This window comes from Homo sapiens, chromosome 3 (genome assembly GCF_000001405.40).
Source record: "Homo sapiens chromosome 3, GRCh38.p14 Primary Assembly".
Lineage (NCBI taxonomy): Eukaryota > Metazoa > Chordata > Mammalia > Primates > Hominidae > Homo > Homo sapiens.
The window spans coordinates 126,212,091-126,228,747 of NC_000003.12; the positions used below are offsets into that span (position 1 = coordinate 126,212,091).

General features: G+C 40.1%; 1 long non-coding RNA gene across 7 annotated transcripts in view, besides 1 other annotated feature; it reads left to right on the forward strand.

Moving 5' to 3' along the window:
* Positions 1–941: 941 nt before the first annotated feature.
* LOC124909426 (uncharacterized) overlaps positions 942–16,657 on the forward strand; it is a 34,702-nt gene continuing 18,986 nt past the window's right edge. For 4 of the 7 annotated variants that reach the window (XR_007096057.1, XR_007096061.1, XR_007096058.1 and 1 more), the window contains exon 1: positions 1,146–3,607. This is a non-coding gene — a long non-coding RNA (uncharacterized LOC124909426). Of the gene's footprint in view, positions 3,608–16,657 lie in introns of all 7 variants that reach the window. The other 3 variants (XR_007096063.1, XR_007096062.1, XR_007096060.1) reach the window with 3 other exon arrangements.
* Positions 1,417–1,929: an enhancer, noted in NCBI's record as "H3K4me1 hESC enhancer chr3:125932350-125932862 (GRCh37/hg19 assembly coordinates)". NCBI's record gives its function as "activates a minimal SCP1, AML or CMV promoter by ChIP-STARR-seq in naive H9 embryonic stem cells {active_cell/tissue: H9 hESC(naive)}" and the evidence as "EXISTENCE:reporter gene assay evidence [ECO:0000049][PMID:30033119]".

Below are 16,657 nucleotides of genomic sequence, written 5' to 3' on the forward strand. Positions count from 1 at the left end.
AGCTCTGTGCAGGCCTATGGAAAGGGCTCTGGGACTGAGGAAGGAAGGAGAGGGGGAAGGGAGGAAGGGAGGGAGTGAAGAAGGAAGGAAGGACGGAAGGAAGGAAGGAAGGAAAGGAGGGAAGGAAAGGAGGGAGAAGGGAAGGAAGAAAGAAGGAAGGAGAGAAGAAGGAGGGAGGAAGGAAGAAGAAAGGAAGGGAGGAAGGGAGGGAGGAAGGGAAGGAGGAAGGGAAGATGGAAGGAGGGAAGGAAGGAGGAAGGGTGGAAGGGAAGGAGGAAGGGAAGATGGAAGGAGGGAAGGAAGAAGGAAGTAAAGAAGGAAGGAGGAAGGGAGGAAAGAAGGAGGGAGGGAGGAGGAGAGAGGGAAGGAAGGAACGAAGGAAGGGAGGAAGGAAGGAAGGAAAGAGGGAAGGAAGGGAGGAAGGAATGAGGAAGGGAGGAAAGAAAGAGGGAGAGAAGGAAGAAGGAAGGAAGGAGGGAAGGAGGAGAGGAGGGAGGGAAAGCAAGAAGGCGGGAGGAAGGGAAGGAAGGAGGGAGGCGGGGAGGGGTACACAACAAGGGCAGCCTAGGCTCCGGTTGCTGTGACAAAGAAGCGGAGTGGCCCTGCTGCATTCTTTTGCTGGCATTTGGCATAAGCCTGTGATAGATAAAGAGCAGAAGGTGCCTTTAGGGGGCACCGAAGAACAGGGTCGATAGGGCTGGGGGAAAGCAAGTATTTCAAAGCTAACTTTTCCATCATTTTTGTGTTTGAACCATGTAAATGTATTGCCTGTCCCCCTAAAATGGATTAATTGAGAAGAGAGCGAGACCACGCCGAGCCTCGGGCCATCACAGCCTGAATGGGAAGCAGCGAACCCCGCTGTGACGGCTTCAGGCCCCGGCCTGTGGAGGGTGGGGGAGTCGCCCTTGGGAGGGGCTGGGCCCCACCGCCGGCTCTGCTTCTCACGGCAGGGGCGCCCCCAGGAAGGGACAGGACAGGGAGCTTTGTCCCGCAGCGAACGGGAACGCGGAGGCCCGGCCTCTCGCCTCCCCACCCTCCCCACCCTCCCCGCGCCTTCTCGGGCCTCCGCGTCCGCCCTGCGCCCTCGGAAGGCGCCGCCCGGCGGCCGCGGCCCTTCGCCGCAGCCAGAGTGCTTTGTCCGAGCTCAAAAAAGCCGTCTCCATGGAAGCGGCCCTTCCGCTCGGAGCCCGGCGGCCTGGAGGGAGACCCGGCGGGGATGCGAGGATTCCGCCCCAGCCCCAGAGGACGCGGCGGAGAGCCTGGAGGAGGCGCTTTGAGAGTCGAGGTCTCCCGCCCGCGCGCCTCCCTGGCGCAGACCTCTTTTAACTTTTTGGCGTGGAGTGCGCGTCCTGACGTGCCCCCTGAGCTACAGCTTACTGAGCTTTACTGGCTTCGCCGGACAGCCGTCCCCAGGTGGAGAGACAGCGCGTCGCGCGCTGCCCGGGCCCCGCAGGGCCTGGCGCCTGGGGCCCTTGCGCCGCTTTGGGGCGAGGGGATCACACCGCGGGCTCCCGGAGCTTAGCGTCTTCCACGCGGCGCTGTGTGTCATCCACGCAGTGTGCTCTCGCTGCCGTGTTCAGGTCACTGCGAGGGTGAGCCCCGCTTTATCTACCCCTTCTGCTGTTGATGGGCACTCGTCTGGGGCTAGAAGGGATAAGGTTGCTGTGAGCGTTCTCGTGTGTTTTTGGTGCACGCGCACACACATTTCTCTGGGGTGCAGACCTGTCTAGTAGTGGAACTGCCGTTTCCCAGCACTTTGGAGCAAAGCCCTGTTGCAGTCTGAAGCGGAAAAGGCAGACGGGCCTTCCATGTTCGTGATTCCAGCCAGGCACAGAAGGGAAGGACAGGGACAGCAGCCGCGCGGAGGCGAGGAGGGACACTGGGCGCTGCTGTCCCCTCTCAGGGGCAGCCACTCCTCTTGTGGACGCAGGTGTGGTCACCAGAAGGGAAGGACAGCAGAGGACTCTTCAGGGACCTTCCTGGATCCCCCTGCAATGGGAGTGGCCTACTTGCTTGACTTGAGGGTGAGACTTGGTCAGCCCTTGACTGTAGGGGGCAGGACCATGGGCTTCAGTGGGGCAGCACCCATGACCCACGCCTCTGCTTCCATTCCCTGCTTACTGCCCGGGCCTCTGGGCAGGGGAGTCTAGTCTCCCTTCCCAGGCTTCCAATGCCTCGCCCCCTGCTGTGGTAAGGATTCGCGCTGGTCCCTATTTATTAATCAGGGAACTTGGGGTTCCAGTTTTCTCCCCTTCTCTGCATCTCATCCCCTTGAGAGCCCCCTGGAGCAGAGGATAACGCACGAGGGGACTGGCTGTGTATATTTTGATAACAATATCAAAATACTGTCAAATACTAAACGGAAAAGAAATAGGAAAACATTGAACTTTATTAAAATGAACTTCAAAAGACACCATTAAGAGTAAAAAGATGACTCACAAAAAAGTTGCCTTTTGTTCAGTAAACGACTCAGGACCAGAAAATATGAAGACCCCTACAACAAGAAAAATATAGATAGCTCAGTTAAAAATTGACAAAAGACTTGAAAAGATATTTCACAAAAGGAGAGATCCAGACAGTCAATCCACACACGAAAGGGTACTTAGCATCAGGGAACTGCAAATAGTGACATTCGATTCCATATCACAGCCACTGGATGGCTAAAATAGCAACGCCAAGTGCTGATGAGACTGTGGAACAACCAGCTGGGCTCTCATACCCTGCTGATGGGAGAGTGGATTGGAGCAACCACGTGGAAACATCTAATGGAGGTAAGCAAACGCCTGCCATAGGAACCAGCGTGTATATCCAAGGGAACCGAGTGCTAGGTTCCTGATCATGGTCAAGATCGCCTACAGCAAATTTACTTATTTATTTTAATCCCCCAACAAATGTCTTTAATGTCTTTAGAAAGATTAATTAAATGGTAGTATTTTAAGAATGCAATGGTATACTGCACAGCAACAAAAAAATAACAAACTGCTAATACTTGCAGCAACATGGATAAATCTCAAAGTATTGAATGCAAAGCTACAATAGAGTGCATAACTAAGGATTCCATTATATAAAATACAAAATCCAGGCAAGACTGATCTACAGTGTTAGAGGTCAGGAGAGAATTTTGGAGGTAGTTGCTTGGGCACCGGGATACTGCGTGGGGAGCTGTGAGTGCTGCATATCTTTAGCTGCGTCCTGCTTGGAGTGCATACTCTGTGAAAATTCATCAACCTGTGCACTTAAGACTTGTGTACTTACATTATCTTTCAGGAAAAAGAAAAGAAAAGTATGCCAAACTTTACCCTTCACCTTTCTTCTCAAAATGGTCAGGTTTCAGAGCTGTGGTAGAAACTTCTAGTACTGACAACAGCCAGTACCTCCCCGCTTGGCAGCTGAGACTATGGGACCAGTTCTGGCCAATGGAATGTGAGGGGAAATGACGGATGTCAATTCCAGGCTGAAGCTTTTAGTTGCCAGAGCCAGGTCCTCCAGTCCTACCTTTCCACTGTGGCAGTCCCTCTGAAGTCCCAAGATCAAGAGCTGACAGCTGAATCCTTGCATGGAGAGTCGCCTGGACCTGCAGTGGACTCTGGATGAGGGAGTATACACCGTAAGTGTATTAAGCCAATGCTGTTTCAGAGTGGTTAATTACCACAGCATAACATGCCCTATCCTGACTAAAATGGATGTGTAGGAGCTCGACAGAGGAATAATTGTCCTTTTGGTGCCCTGCGCTTGTTCTTGGCCTTGGCCAGGTAGCAGCACACTTAGTATCAGACCGCCCAAGTGTCCTATGTCTACATTCGGTGGAACCCATTGTGGTGGCCCCTGGATCGACATTACAGCAGAGGGGAAGCACTGGCCTCCTGCACTCTCAGTTTCAGCTAGCTCTGCGTGCCGTTTTTCTCAGTGACAACATTCCGTGTAGGTGTTTGCCCACTGCCAGTGCTGGGTGACCTACGCTGGTACAGTCGGGACTACAAAGTCCTTTTCTTGGGATGCTTCCTTTACTACTTTGAACTCTTGGCTCTTGGCACTGGAATCCCCTAGCATTTGGGATTACCAGAAAACAAGAGGTGGCAAGATGGTGCAATAATTTTGAACCCAGCCCCATGTTGAAGTGCACGACTGGGGACAGTGCAGTGGGGAAATGAGAGCTTGGGGCCAGGAAGACTGCTTGGGTTCTAACCCCGGTCCCATTGCTGGCCACCTACGACACACTGGCAAATCACTTTTATCCCCAAACCTCAAAAATGGTCTCAAGGTTTCCAAATAGAGGTGTTTCTTTTCATTTTCTAGAAAAGTGAGCATAGTGGTAGAGCCCCTGAAGCTGCATCCTTCTGGGGTAAGGCAGAGCCATCTCACAAACCACACCACCTGATGGCATCTATTACAAATGTCAGATTTTGTAGGCTGAAGTGACCAAGAAGCCATTGGGAATGAGCAAAGTTTTAAATTGCTGGAAGGAATCTTCAGCAAACAGGCAAATACTTTAAAATTTTAGGTGATCCATCACTGAATAATTTGAAAGATCTTCAGATTCTTGTACTGTGAATCACTTCTGTAGGCATGAAAGAGTGAGCAATGCAGGCATAACATTAAAAGGAGACTGATAAGGAAATAAAAATGAAGAACAGAAATAGCTCCAAAGATTAGATGTAAGCCCTTGGGGTTGGGATTATCTGGAGAGAGATGGGAGCTCAGTTGTCGGAATAAAGCCAAGTAGCAAGGTAGCCTTAAATGTACTCCAATTTTCACCACTCAGCAGCAGGAGCCAAGCAGAGACTGCTTCCCTAGACCCTTGCTTATTGGACACCACAAACTTCCTGGAGGTGCTAGCACATAGAGGTGAGGTGTTTTTTTATAGATCCTTTTGGCTCATCATGACAAAGGGAGACACAGGTTATGGTGTTATTCTTTCCAACCTGAAGGCTGAACAGACAACGGACAGACCCTGCTTCCCAGATTCCTCATCCTGACACCAACAAGATAGTGAAAAATGATGCAACCACAAAGTGTTAATTTTCCCTTCCTGGTCCCACAGTTTTATTTAATAATTTCATTGGGCATGATATTTTACATCAGCCAGCATAAATACTAACAGCAACCAGAGAGACAATGCTAGGAATCAAGAGAGTGTCTATAGCCTGCTTCGGGCAAATGTCTAGCCTGAATAGATCTTGCCTTGTTCAAGGTTGTAAACACCAGTAAAAAGGGGACCTATAAAAATATTTTACAGTTTATAAGATGTAAGTGTTCATGGTATTAAAAAGGCAGGGAGGTATGTTTTTCAACATTGCTTTATTTACCAAGAAGGGGGGAAATTTTAGAGAGCAACTGCTTTGTGGTAACCATAAATCTCAACCATACGTAGGCTCTTTAAAGCAAGAAATAAGAAGGGAAGGCAACGTGGTATAGAACCAGATTCCAATGAGCCTGAAAAATAGCTGGCTAATTTTCTAAGAAAAGAACTAAGAAAGAAAATAAAGAAAGAAAATAAAGAAGTTATAGGCAAAATGGCGAGGAAATTAAAAGTGCAATACCAGAAATAAAATATGCAATGTATCAGTAAAAAAAAAAAAATCTATACAGCAAAACAAAAATAAATGGAAAACTTAAACATTGGTCATTTAAGAAACTTTTCCAGAAGCAAAATAAGTAAACAATTAAATAGGGACAAAGAATTTTAAAACATGAGAAAAAAGATAGTAGATATGGAGGAAGAAAATGGCAGATCTAACATATGGGTAATTAATGTTCTGAAGAAAACACACGCAGTATACACAATAATACAGTTATAACAGAAAACTTTCCTGAGCTATAAAAATACCTGAATTAAAATTCAGAGCACTTATATTTACACACTACTATGCGCAATTATTTTTATTTCAAGATTAAATGAAGTATAAGCATCCAGGTAAGGCACACATATTCTTTTTTCAAAAAAAATTCCCTTCTGCAGGGGTTGGGTGGACAATAAAGGATACAAATTATCCAAAAAAGAAAAAAATTTCAAATAAATTTTAAAAACCCCTAACACTTTTTGCAACTTTAAAAGCCAATAGAGAAATACCTACAGAAAACATTGCTGAAAAAGTCTATAAATCAAGAGCTCTTATTCAGGTTTTATTCAAATGAGAAAGCAACAGAAAGACACTGTCAGAAATACAATGGTTCAAAAATAGACAATAAAACCTAAAGGAAAATTTTACTTGAACACATGTCTTGATCAATCAAAAGCTAATTAAAAAAAAACAGCTCATTTCAAGGACTATCATAAGATATAGAACATTCAATGGATTGAACATTGAAACTGTTATGAACAGAATAAAGTGCAAGTAATGCTTGGAAGTATAGTTTTAAAAGAAAATGTGACTCCTGACAAGTAATTCTAGCACTAGATGACACAATACTAGAGGCAGAAACCATAAAGAAAAGAGGAATAGATTTGATTATATGATGTTATAAAACTTACATATGTTAAATATATATAATGATAAATTTGCATATATCTTTCATGTGCCATAAACAAAACTAAAAGATAATTTCAAACTAGGAAAAATATTTGCAAAATATGACAAAGTAAATATTGTTAATTTACAAAAAATATTTCAAATTAATAAATGGACAATCAACACCAAATGAGCATAGAATATGAAAAAGCAATTCTCAGAAATAGGAAGAAAGGAGAGAAAGAAGGAAGGAAATAAAACAATACTCAATCTTAGAAGTAATCAAAGAAATGCAAATTAATGCAACATTTAGACATTTTTTTAAAAGAGCACACCAGTACAATAGTATGATGGTGAACAACCAGGGTCTATTATTATTGGCTGGAGTCTGTGTTAAATTGGTTGTAAAACCTTTTCAATTTTATGTCTTCTGTGGAAAACCAATAAAACACAAAGGAAGTCACTAAGAGATGAAAGAAGGGACAAAAAAGTTACAAGATCCATAAAACAACTAAAATATCAAGTCCTTCCCTATAAATAATTACTTTAAATGTAAACAAATTAAACTCCACAAACAAAATATACAGATTGGGTTGGGCGCAGCATATCATACCTGTAACATCAGCATGTAGGGAGGTCAAGGCAGGAACATTGCTTTAGCCCAGGAGTTTGAGACCAGCCCTGGTAACATAGTGAGACTGCCATTACTATAAAAATTTTTAAAAATTAGCCAGGTGTGGTGGTGCACACTTGTAGTCACAGCTACTGGGGAGGCTAGGTGTGAGGATTGCTTGAGCCTGGGAGATTCAGGCTGCAGTGAGCCACAGTCTCACCACTGCACTCCATCCTGGGCAACAGTTGATCAAGACCCTGTCTCAAAAAAAAAAATAGATTTGCTAAATGTATTCAAAAACAGGATACAATTATATGCTGTCTACAAGAAACTCACTTTAGATCTGAAAATATAATAGCCTAAAAATGAAAGGATAGAAAAAAGATTTCATACAAATGGTAATCAAAAGACAACAGGAATTGCTACACCAATATCTGGCAAAAGAGACTTTAAATCAAAAACTGTTACAGGAGACAAAAAAAGATATTGTATAATGGTAAAAGGGTCAATTTACCAAAAATACATAATAACAAAAAATATTTAGGTACCAAACCAGAGAGCTCCTAAACATATAAAGCAAACTAACAGAACTGAAGGGAGATAGACAGAAACACAATAATAGTAGGAGACTTCCATACCTCACATTCAATAATGGATAGAATAACTAAGCAGAAGATCAATAATGAGATAGAAGACTGAAACATTTTACACCAATTGGACCTAACGGACATACAGAGAAGATTCCACCCAACAACAGCAGAGTACACAATCTTCTCAAGTGTTCAGGGAACATTTTCCAGGAAAGGCAACATATAAGGTCACAAAATAACTCTTAACAAATTCAAAAAGGTTGAAATTACACAAAATATCCTTTTTCGATCACAAGGAAATTAAACTAGAAATCAATAGCACAAGGAAAATTGGAAACTCCACAAACGTGTAAATAAATTAACACAGTCTTGAACAGCCGATAGGTCAAAGAAGAGGTCACAGTGGAAATTAGAAAATACCTTGGGACAAGTGAAAATGAAAACACAACATACCAAAACTTATGGGCTACAGCAATAGCAGTGCTAAGAGGGAAGTTGATAGCAATACATGCCTTATATTAAAAAGAAGAAATATCTCAAATAAACAACCTAACTTTACATCTCAAGAAAGCAGAAAAAGAACAACTAAAGCTAAAGCTAAGAGAAGAAAGGAAATAAAGATTATAGCATAAATGATTAAAATAGAGAATAGAAGTGAAATCAATGAAACCAGATTCGGTTTCAAAAAAAAAAAATCAACAAAATGGACAACCCCTTAGTTAAATTAAGAAAGAAAGAGACGTGACTCAACTAACTAAAATCGGAAGTCACAGAAAGGACATTACAACTGATGCCACAGAAATAAAAAGGATTATAAGAGAATACTAAGAACAATTATATTTCCACAAACTTGATAACCTAAAGAAATGAACACATTCCTAGAAACACACAACCTACCAAGACTGAACCATGAAGAAACGAAAAGTCTGAACAGACCAATAACAAGCACGGAAATTGAATCAGTAATCAAATACCTTCCAACAAAGAAAAGTCCAGGACCAGATGGCTTCACTGGAGAATTCTACAGAATATTTAAAAATAATTAACACCAATCCTCCTGAAACTATTCCAAAAAATTAAAGAGGAGGGAATACTTAGGTTACTTTACAGGTCAGCATAACCCTGATACCAAATCCAGACAAAGACACTGCAAGAAAAGAAAACTGTGTTTTTTGGCTGCATAAATGTCTTCTTTTGAGAAGTGTCTGTTCATGTCCTTTGCCCACTTTTTGATGGAGTTGTTTGTTTTTTTCTTGTAAATTTGTTTGAGTTCATTGTAGATTCTGGATATTAGCTCTTTGTCGATGAGTAGGTTGCAAAAATTTTCTCCCATTTTGTAGGTTGCCTGTTTACTCTGATGGTAGTTTCTTTTGCTGTGCAGAGGCTCTTTAGTTTAATTAGATCCCATTTGTCAATTTTGTCTTTTGTTGCCATTGCTTTTGGTGTTTTAGACATGAAGTCCTTGCCCATGCCTATGTCCTGAATGGTAATGCCTAGGTTTTCTTCTAGGGTTTTTATGGTTTTAGGTCTAACATTTAAATCTTTAATCCATCTTGAATTAATTTTTCTATAAGGTGTAAGGAAGGGATCCAGCTTTCTACATATGGCTAGCCAGTTTTCCCAGCACCATTTATTAAATAGGGAATCCTTTCCCCATTTCTTGTTTTTCTCAGGTTTGTCAAAGATCAGATAGTTGTAGATATGCGGCGGTATTTCTGAGGGCTCTATTCTGTTCCATTGATCTATATCTCTGTTTTGGTACCAGTACCATGCTGTTTTGGTTACTCTAGCCTTGTAGTATAGTTTGAAGTCAGGTAGCGCAGGAAAAAATGCTCACCATCACTGGCCATCAGAGAAATGCAAATCAAAACCACAATGAGATACCATCTCACACCAGTTAGAATGGCAATCATTAAAAAGTCAGGAAACAACAGGTGCTGGAGAGGATGTGGAGAAATAGGAACACTTTTACACATTGGTGGGACTGTAAACTAGTTCAACCATTGTGTGGCGATTCCTCAGGGATCTAGAACTAGAAATACCATTTTACCCAGCCATCCCATTACTGGGTATATACCCAAAGGACTATAAATCATGCTGCTATAAAGACACATGCACACGTATGTTTATTGCGGCTCTATTCACAATAGCAAAGACTTGGAACCAACCCAAATGTCCAACAATGATAGACTGGATTAAGAAAATGTGGCACATATACACCATGGAATACTATGCAGCCATAAAAAATGATGAGTTCATGTCCTTTGTAGGGACATGGATGAAATTGGAAATCATCATTCTCAGTAAACTATCACAAGAACAAAAAACCAAACACCGCATATTCTCACTCATAGGTGGGAATTGAACAATGAGAACACATAGACACAGGAAGGGGAACATCACACTCTGGGGACTGTTGTGGGGTGGGGGGAGGGGGGAGGGATAGCATTAGGAGATATACCTAATGCTAAATGACGAGTTAATGGGGCAGCACACCAGCATGGCACATGTATACATATGTAACTAACCTGCACATTGTGCACATGTACCCTAAAACTTAAAGTATAATAATAAAAAAAAATAAAAAATATAAAAAAAAAGAAAAGAAAACTGCTGACCAATGTCCTTGATGAATGTAGATGCCAAAATCCTCAGCAAAATACTGGCAAACAATATTCAAAGCACATTAAGATTATACACCATGACCTAAATAAAGTGGAATTTATTCCTAGAATGCAAGGATGATTTAACTTATGAAAACGAATCAAAGTTATAACACATTAACAGAATGAAGAACAAAAGCCACATGATCATTTCAATTGTTGCAGAAAAAACGTTTAACAAGAGTCAACATCCCTTCATGATAAAAACACTCCACAATATAGGAATAGAAGTAAATCACCTCAACATACTAAAGGCAGTTTATACAAGCCCATAGCTAACATCATACTCAACAGTGAAAAACTGAAAGCTTTCCCTCTAAGATCAGGAATGAGGCAAGGATCTCCCCTCTCACTACTTCTATTAAATATGGCATTGGAAGTCCTGGCCAGAGCAATTGGATAGTAAAAATATATAAAGGGCATCCAATTGAAAAGGAAGAAATAAAATTATCTCTGCTCACGGATGGCATGTTTTTTTATGTAGAAAACCCAGAAGCTTTCACACACAGAAAAACTATTAGAATTAATAGACAAATTCAGCAAGGTTGCAGGATTTTAAATCAGCAAACAAAAATCTTGCATTTCTATACAGCAATAGTGAACAACTTGAAAAAGGAAATTAAAAAAAATCCTATTTACAACAGCATTGAAAGAATGACATATTTAGTAATAAATCTACTCTAAAGAAGGAGAAAGACTTGTACACTAAAAACTGTAAAATATTGCTGGAAGAAATTAAGGAAGACTAAATACATAGAAAGATAGTTTGTGTTCTTAAGTTGGAAGACAATATTGTTAAGATATCTGTACTACCCAAAGTGATCTACAGATTCAATGCAACCCTTATCAAAATCCCAAAGGCATTGTTTGCAGAAATAGAAAAAGTCATTCTAAAATTAATGTGAAATCTCAAGAGATTCCAAATAGCTGAAACAATATTTTAAAAGAAGAACAAAGCTGGACTCACAAGCCCTGATATTCCTGATGTTAAAACATACTGCAAAGCTCCAGTAATCAAAACTGTGTGTTATCAACATAAAAACAGACAAATAGACCAATGGAATAGAAGAGAGGACCCCAAATGAACACTCGTGTATGGTCAAATGAACTTCAGCAAGGGTACTAAGATCATTCAATGGAGAAGGGAAAGTATTTTCAAGAAATCACATTAAGGAAAAAAACTGGATATCCACCTGCAAAATAATAAATTTGGACCCTTATAGCATATACAAAAATTAAGGTAAAATGGATTAAAGATGTAATACCTAAAACTATAAAACTAGAGTAAACTACAGGGGAAAATCTTCATGACATTGTACTTGGCATGATTTCTTGGATAATGACACCACAAGTACAGGCAACAAAAGCAAAAATAGGCAAATGGGACTGTGTTAAACTTTGCAAATGTTTATCGAAGGATAAGATCAACAGAGTGAACAGGCAAATCATATATCTGATAAGGGGTTAATAGCCAGAATTTACAAAAGAACTGTTATAACTCAACAACAAGAAATCAACCAGGTTTAAAAATGATCAAAAGACTTGAATAGATATTTCTCCTAACATTATTTACCAATGGCCAAGAAACAAATGAAAAGATGGCAACATCTCTAATCATCAGAGAAATTCAAATAAAAATCACATTGAGCTATCACCTCATACTCATTACAATGACTACTATTTAAAGAAAAAAGAAAAAAAAGAACAAATTGGAAACGATGTGGAGGACCTCATGTGCAGTGTTAGTAGGAATATAAAATGGTGCAGCCATTGTGGAAAACAATACAACAGTTCCTCAAAAAATTAAAAATAGAATTACCATATGATGCAGCAATTCCACTTCTGTTTAAATGCCCAAATGAACTGGAAGCAGTCCCCCAAAGAGATATTTGCACACCCATGTTCATAGCAACATTATTCACAACAGCTGATAGGTGAAAGCAACACAAATGTCCCTTTATGGATGAATAAATAAACAAAATGTGGTATGTGCCTACAAGGGAATATGATTTAGCCTTAAAAAGGAAGAAAATTTTGTCTTGTGCAACAACATAAATGAACTTTAAGGATATTATGCTAAGCGAAACAAGCCAGTCAGAAAAAAGAGGAGTACAGGTCATCACTGATTTATGATGTTTTGACTTACAATTTTTCCACTTTACAATGGTGCGAAAGCAATATCCATTTAGTAAAAACCATATTTGAAATTTAGATTTGGATCTTTCCCAGGCTAAGGATATTCAGTACCATGGTCTCTTTCAACGCTGGGCAGTAGCTACGAGTCACAGCTTCCACACTTGTTTGCCAGTCAATTTTGCCCAACTGTGGGCTAATGTAAGTGTTCTGAGCACGTTTAAGATAGGCTAGTCCAAGCTATGATGTTCAATAGGTTAGGTGTATTAAATGTATTTTTGACTAACCACAGGTTTATCAACATAATTCCATTGTAAGTCGAGGAGTATTTGTACTGTATGATCCTGCTGTAAGAGCTATCTAAAGTAGCTGGATTCATAGCAACAGAAAGTAGAACGGTGGTGACCAAGGGAAGAAGGGAAGGAGAGAAGGGGAGCTGCTGTTTAATGGGCATAGACTTGCAACTTGAAAAAGCTCCAGAGAGATTTGTTTCACAATAATGTGAATAGATGTGACACCTCAGCACTATACACTTAAAAATGGTTAAAATGGTACATTTTGTGCTATGTATTTTTTACTACAATTATGTGTGTGTGTGTGTGTGTGTGTGTGTGTGTGTGTGTATGACATGTATCTCTATAAAGGGGAGGGCCCCATCATCACACACAGTCCCCCAGGCTTCCTTCCCATCCCCATCTCCAGTTCCACCGTAGCCAGCATTTCAAGTTTGGTCCACAAAATATCCCACAACTTTGTTTTAAATGCACAGATAAGCCTTATACATATGTGGAAAGTATTTAAGTGGTATTATATTGTATATCAGTATTTATCTATCATGTTTTGAAAAAGAAAAACTCTCTATGGACCTAATCAAACTTTTCAAAGTACATTAGGGAAAACAGAATTTAGCTAGATTGGGGTTAACTTATGTTAAGAACAGCAGGTTTCTCCAAGACTCTCCAAGATGGATTCTTATCACATTCTCAAATGCACAAAGGAAAAGAGTTTGGTGACTCTGGAACCAGAATGGGGGTTGTGGAGGCCGTTGTTTGCCCTGTGGTCTCAGTTCTTTATGGATCTAAGAAGAGTTGTTAATTTTCAGTTTGGTTTTGCTTTCTTCTTATTACAAGGATGGGAGTGAAGACCAATCTCCTTATATTTCACACCAAAAACCAGAAGTCCCAAAACATTTCAAAGTCTAAATACAGTTGATACTTTTCATAGAAAATATAAATGACCAAGAAGTAGTAGAAAAAGTAAATAAATCAATAAATATTCATGGCATGGAAAACCCCTTTAATTTAAAAAGTATCTGTCACAAGCCAACAACTTACGACAAGTTGAATGATTAAACACTAGAGACAAACATATGCATTATTCATGATCTAAGATCCCAGAAACCCTTTAAAATCCTTGGGATCAATTAAATCTCACAATCAGGTTTTTTTTTTCAGATTTCTCAAAGATAATGTCATACATATATTATACCTTGGAAAACAACCCCAATGAGGACCGGGAGGACAGTCCATAATCGAGCACATTACTGCCTAGGTCACCAAATGCTCTTGCCCCAAGTTGTATACTTGAAGAGTATAAATAGTCCTCATTGGTTCAGGCCAGATTTTATTACCCAAAGAGTTTGCCACAGACCTTAGATTTCAGAGTTTTTTGGCATTTAGGAATTGCAGGTGAAGTGCTGTAAACCTATAACTATCAATCAAAGTTGTTCATAAACTTCTAGACAATGCAATAGGACAAAAAAAAAAGCTTAAAAACATTGGAAAGAAAAGAGACAAAATTGTCATTATATTAATTGTCCATTTCTAGAAAATAAGAAAGTACAGAAAACTAGGTTTTAGAGTGTTTTTTAATTCAATATTTTCTATATACATACATATAACATACGTGTGTGACATGTGTGTATGTGCATGTATGTAAGAATGGGTAACACCCTTCTTTTCACCCAGATGGAGATTGAGGAGAGAGAGTAACTGTTCTTGGCAAATAATTTAATCCAGTCTTTTCTAGACTGTGCATTTCTAAGGCTCTAATTGTGTTGCTAAGGGAGAGGTGTTTATAGCAGGTTTGTGGCTGCTTTCTTACCCTGCTAAGCCTGAAAGGGAAGCAGAAAAAGAACAAAGAACTAAATACCACTTTGGATAATAGTGTGATTTACTGATTCCATGGGAGGAAGTGTGTTCTTCCTAATTAAGAGTCAGTTAGGAGACATTTTCTTCCTTGCTGTGGCAAGAACTAATGTTTGTCCTTAAGAAAGACATGTTTGTGCTTAAGTCAACAGACACTCTGTACCATACATAGATTAATTTCCAAATGGACTAAACATTTAAACATGAAACATCAATAAAATTATTTCAATAAGATATAGAATAGTAATCCTAAAACCTTGGAATCGAAAGTGTTTTCATTCTCAGACGTCCAAAAGAAACAATTTGACTCATTTAACCATGTAAAAATATATAATTTTTATGGTAAAAAAAAACACCAAAAATCTTAAAAGAGGAAGTCACTGGTAAAAGTATTCACAACTAAAATGATCACAGAGGGTGTAATCGTTGAATTGTGCTCCTCAAAAAATATCTGTTGCACTCCTAACCCCAGTACCTCAGAATGTGACCTTATTTGGAAATGGGATCTTTTCAAAAGTAAGTGCCTCATATGAGGCATTAGGGTGGGCCCTGATGCAATATGACTGGTGTATTTGAGTATTTGAAGTGGGAGAATACTTGATGCCAGAGATGGGAGGCCAGGAAGAAATAATAAATTTACAATGCACAGCAAACACCATCTTTTAGGGAGAATTCTGGGAATATGGTAACCTGAGCCCAGATCCATTTCCTTCATTCCCACATGTACCTTTTCTGCACCAATCAGCTGCTGAGACTCTGAGCATCTATCTGGGTGCTCATGCAGCCTGGGCTTCTATGAGCATCTCAAAAAGAAGACCTCTGTGGTGCCTTCTCCCCAGTAGCTCAGTGGCAGGTGCCTGGAAGTCAACACTGGGGAGCTGCTAGGAAAATCCTGGGAAGCCTTGGGGGAAGTTCCCATCAGCCCCATGAGCCTGCCTGGTTTCCCTGGTCAAGAAGATACTAAATGTGGGCTGAGTCCTCCTGACCCTGCAGCTAGGGAAACGCAAACAGGATGGAGGAACAAGGGTTTCAGCACATGACCTGCAGTCAGCCTGCTGCAGTGTCACCAGCACATGGAGGCAGAAATCTCTGCACCTTCTACAACCTGTAGAGCTGCTGCCATGCAGGGAACACCAACAGCTAGACTTGAGCCCTGATGAGCCAACACCTAGCCCACAGGATCATGCCAGCCAGAGGGTAAGATTATCCCACAACAAATATAACTCACACCTGGAGAAAGAGAGCTGCTAGAGGACAAGGGTGCAGCTGGAAGAAAATTGGAGGAGGTGAAGAGGGAAAGGACATTTACATGGATTCAAGAGCAGTACAAAAGAGTTTCTGGAGCTAAAAATAAACATAATTTTCTGCTCCAAAAATTCAGTGGATGAGTTACAAGAGAAAAGAGACACTGTTGAAACCTGAATTAGAGTTAGCATTCTGAATATTTACTGCTTATTGCAGTAATATCTCAAAAGATAGCAAATATATCAAATATCTCAAAAATATATCAAATATTTCCAAAAATATATCAAATAAGACAGAAATATATTAAATAAGATAGCAAATATATCAAATAAGACAGAAATCATCATAAACAAATATATAAAGGTTTGGAGCAGTGCATACCAAGGATGAGACAGTGGGAGTGTCCACCCTCAGCTCAGACAATAGTGTGTGCCTTGTCAGGAGATAATTTAGAAAACCAACTAAAAGACAGTTGGTTTTCTATGATCACAATGGACTGGCAATACTCAACAACATCAGTGATACAATAGTCCTCAAAAAAGTCTTCTTTTCATCTAAGATGTAAACCCTTGCTGCAGTTACTGGTTTTTTTAAAAAATTAACTTTACCTTTTAGAACAGTTTAAATTGTCAAAAAGATTTAAAAGATTGTATAGAGAGTTCCCAAATACTCCTTCATCCATTTCTCCCTAAAATTAGTATCTTTCATTAGTATAGTATATTTGTTACAATTAATGAATCAATACTGAGACTAATATCTAGAGCTTATTCTGATTTTCTTAGTTTTACCTAACATGTTTTTCTGTCCCAGGATTCCA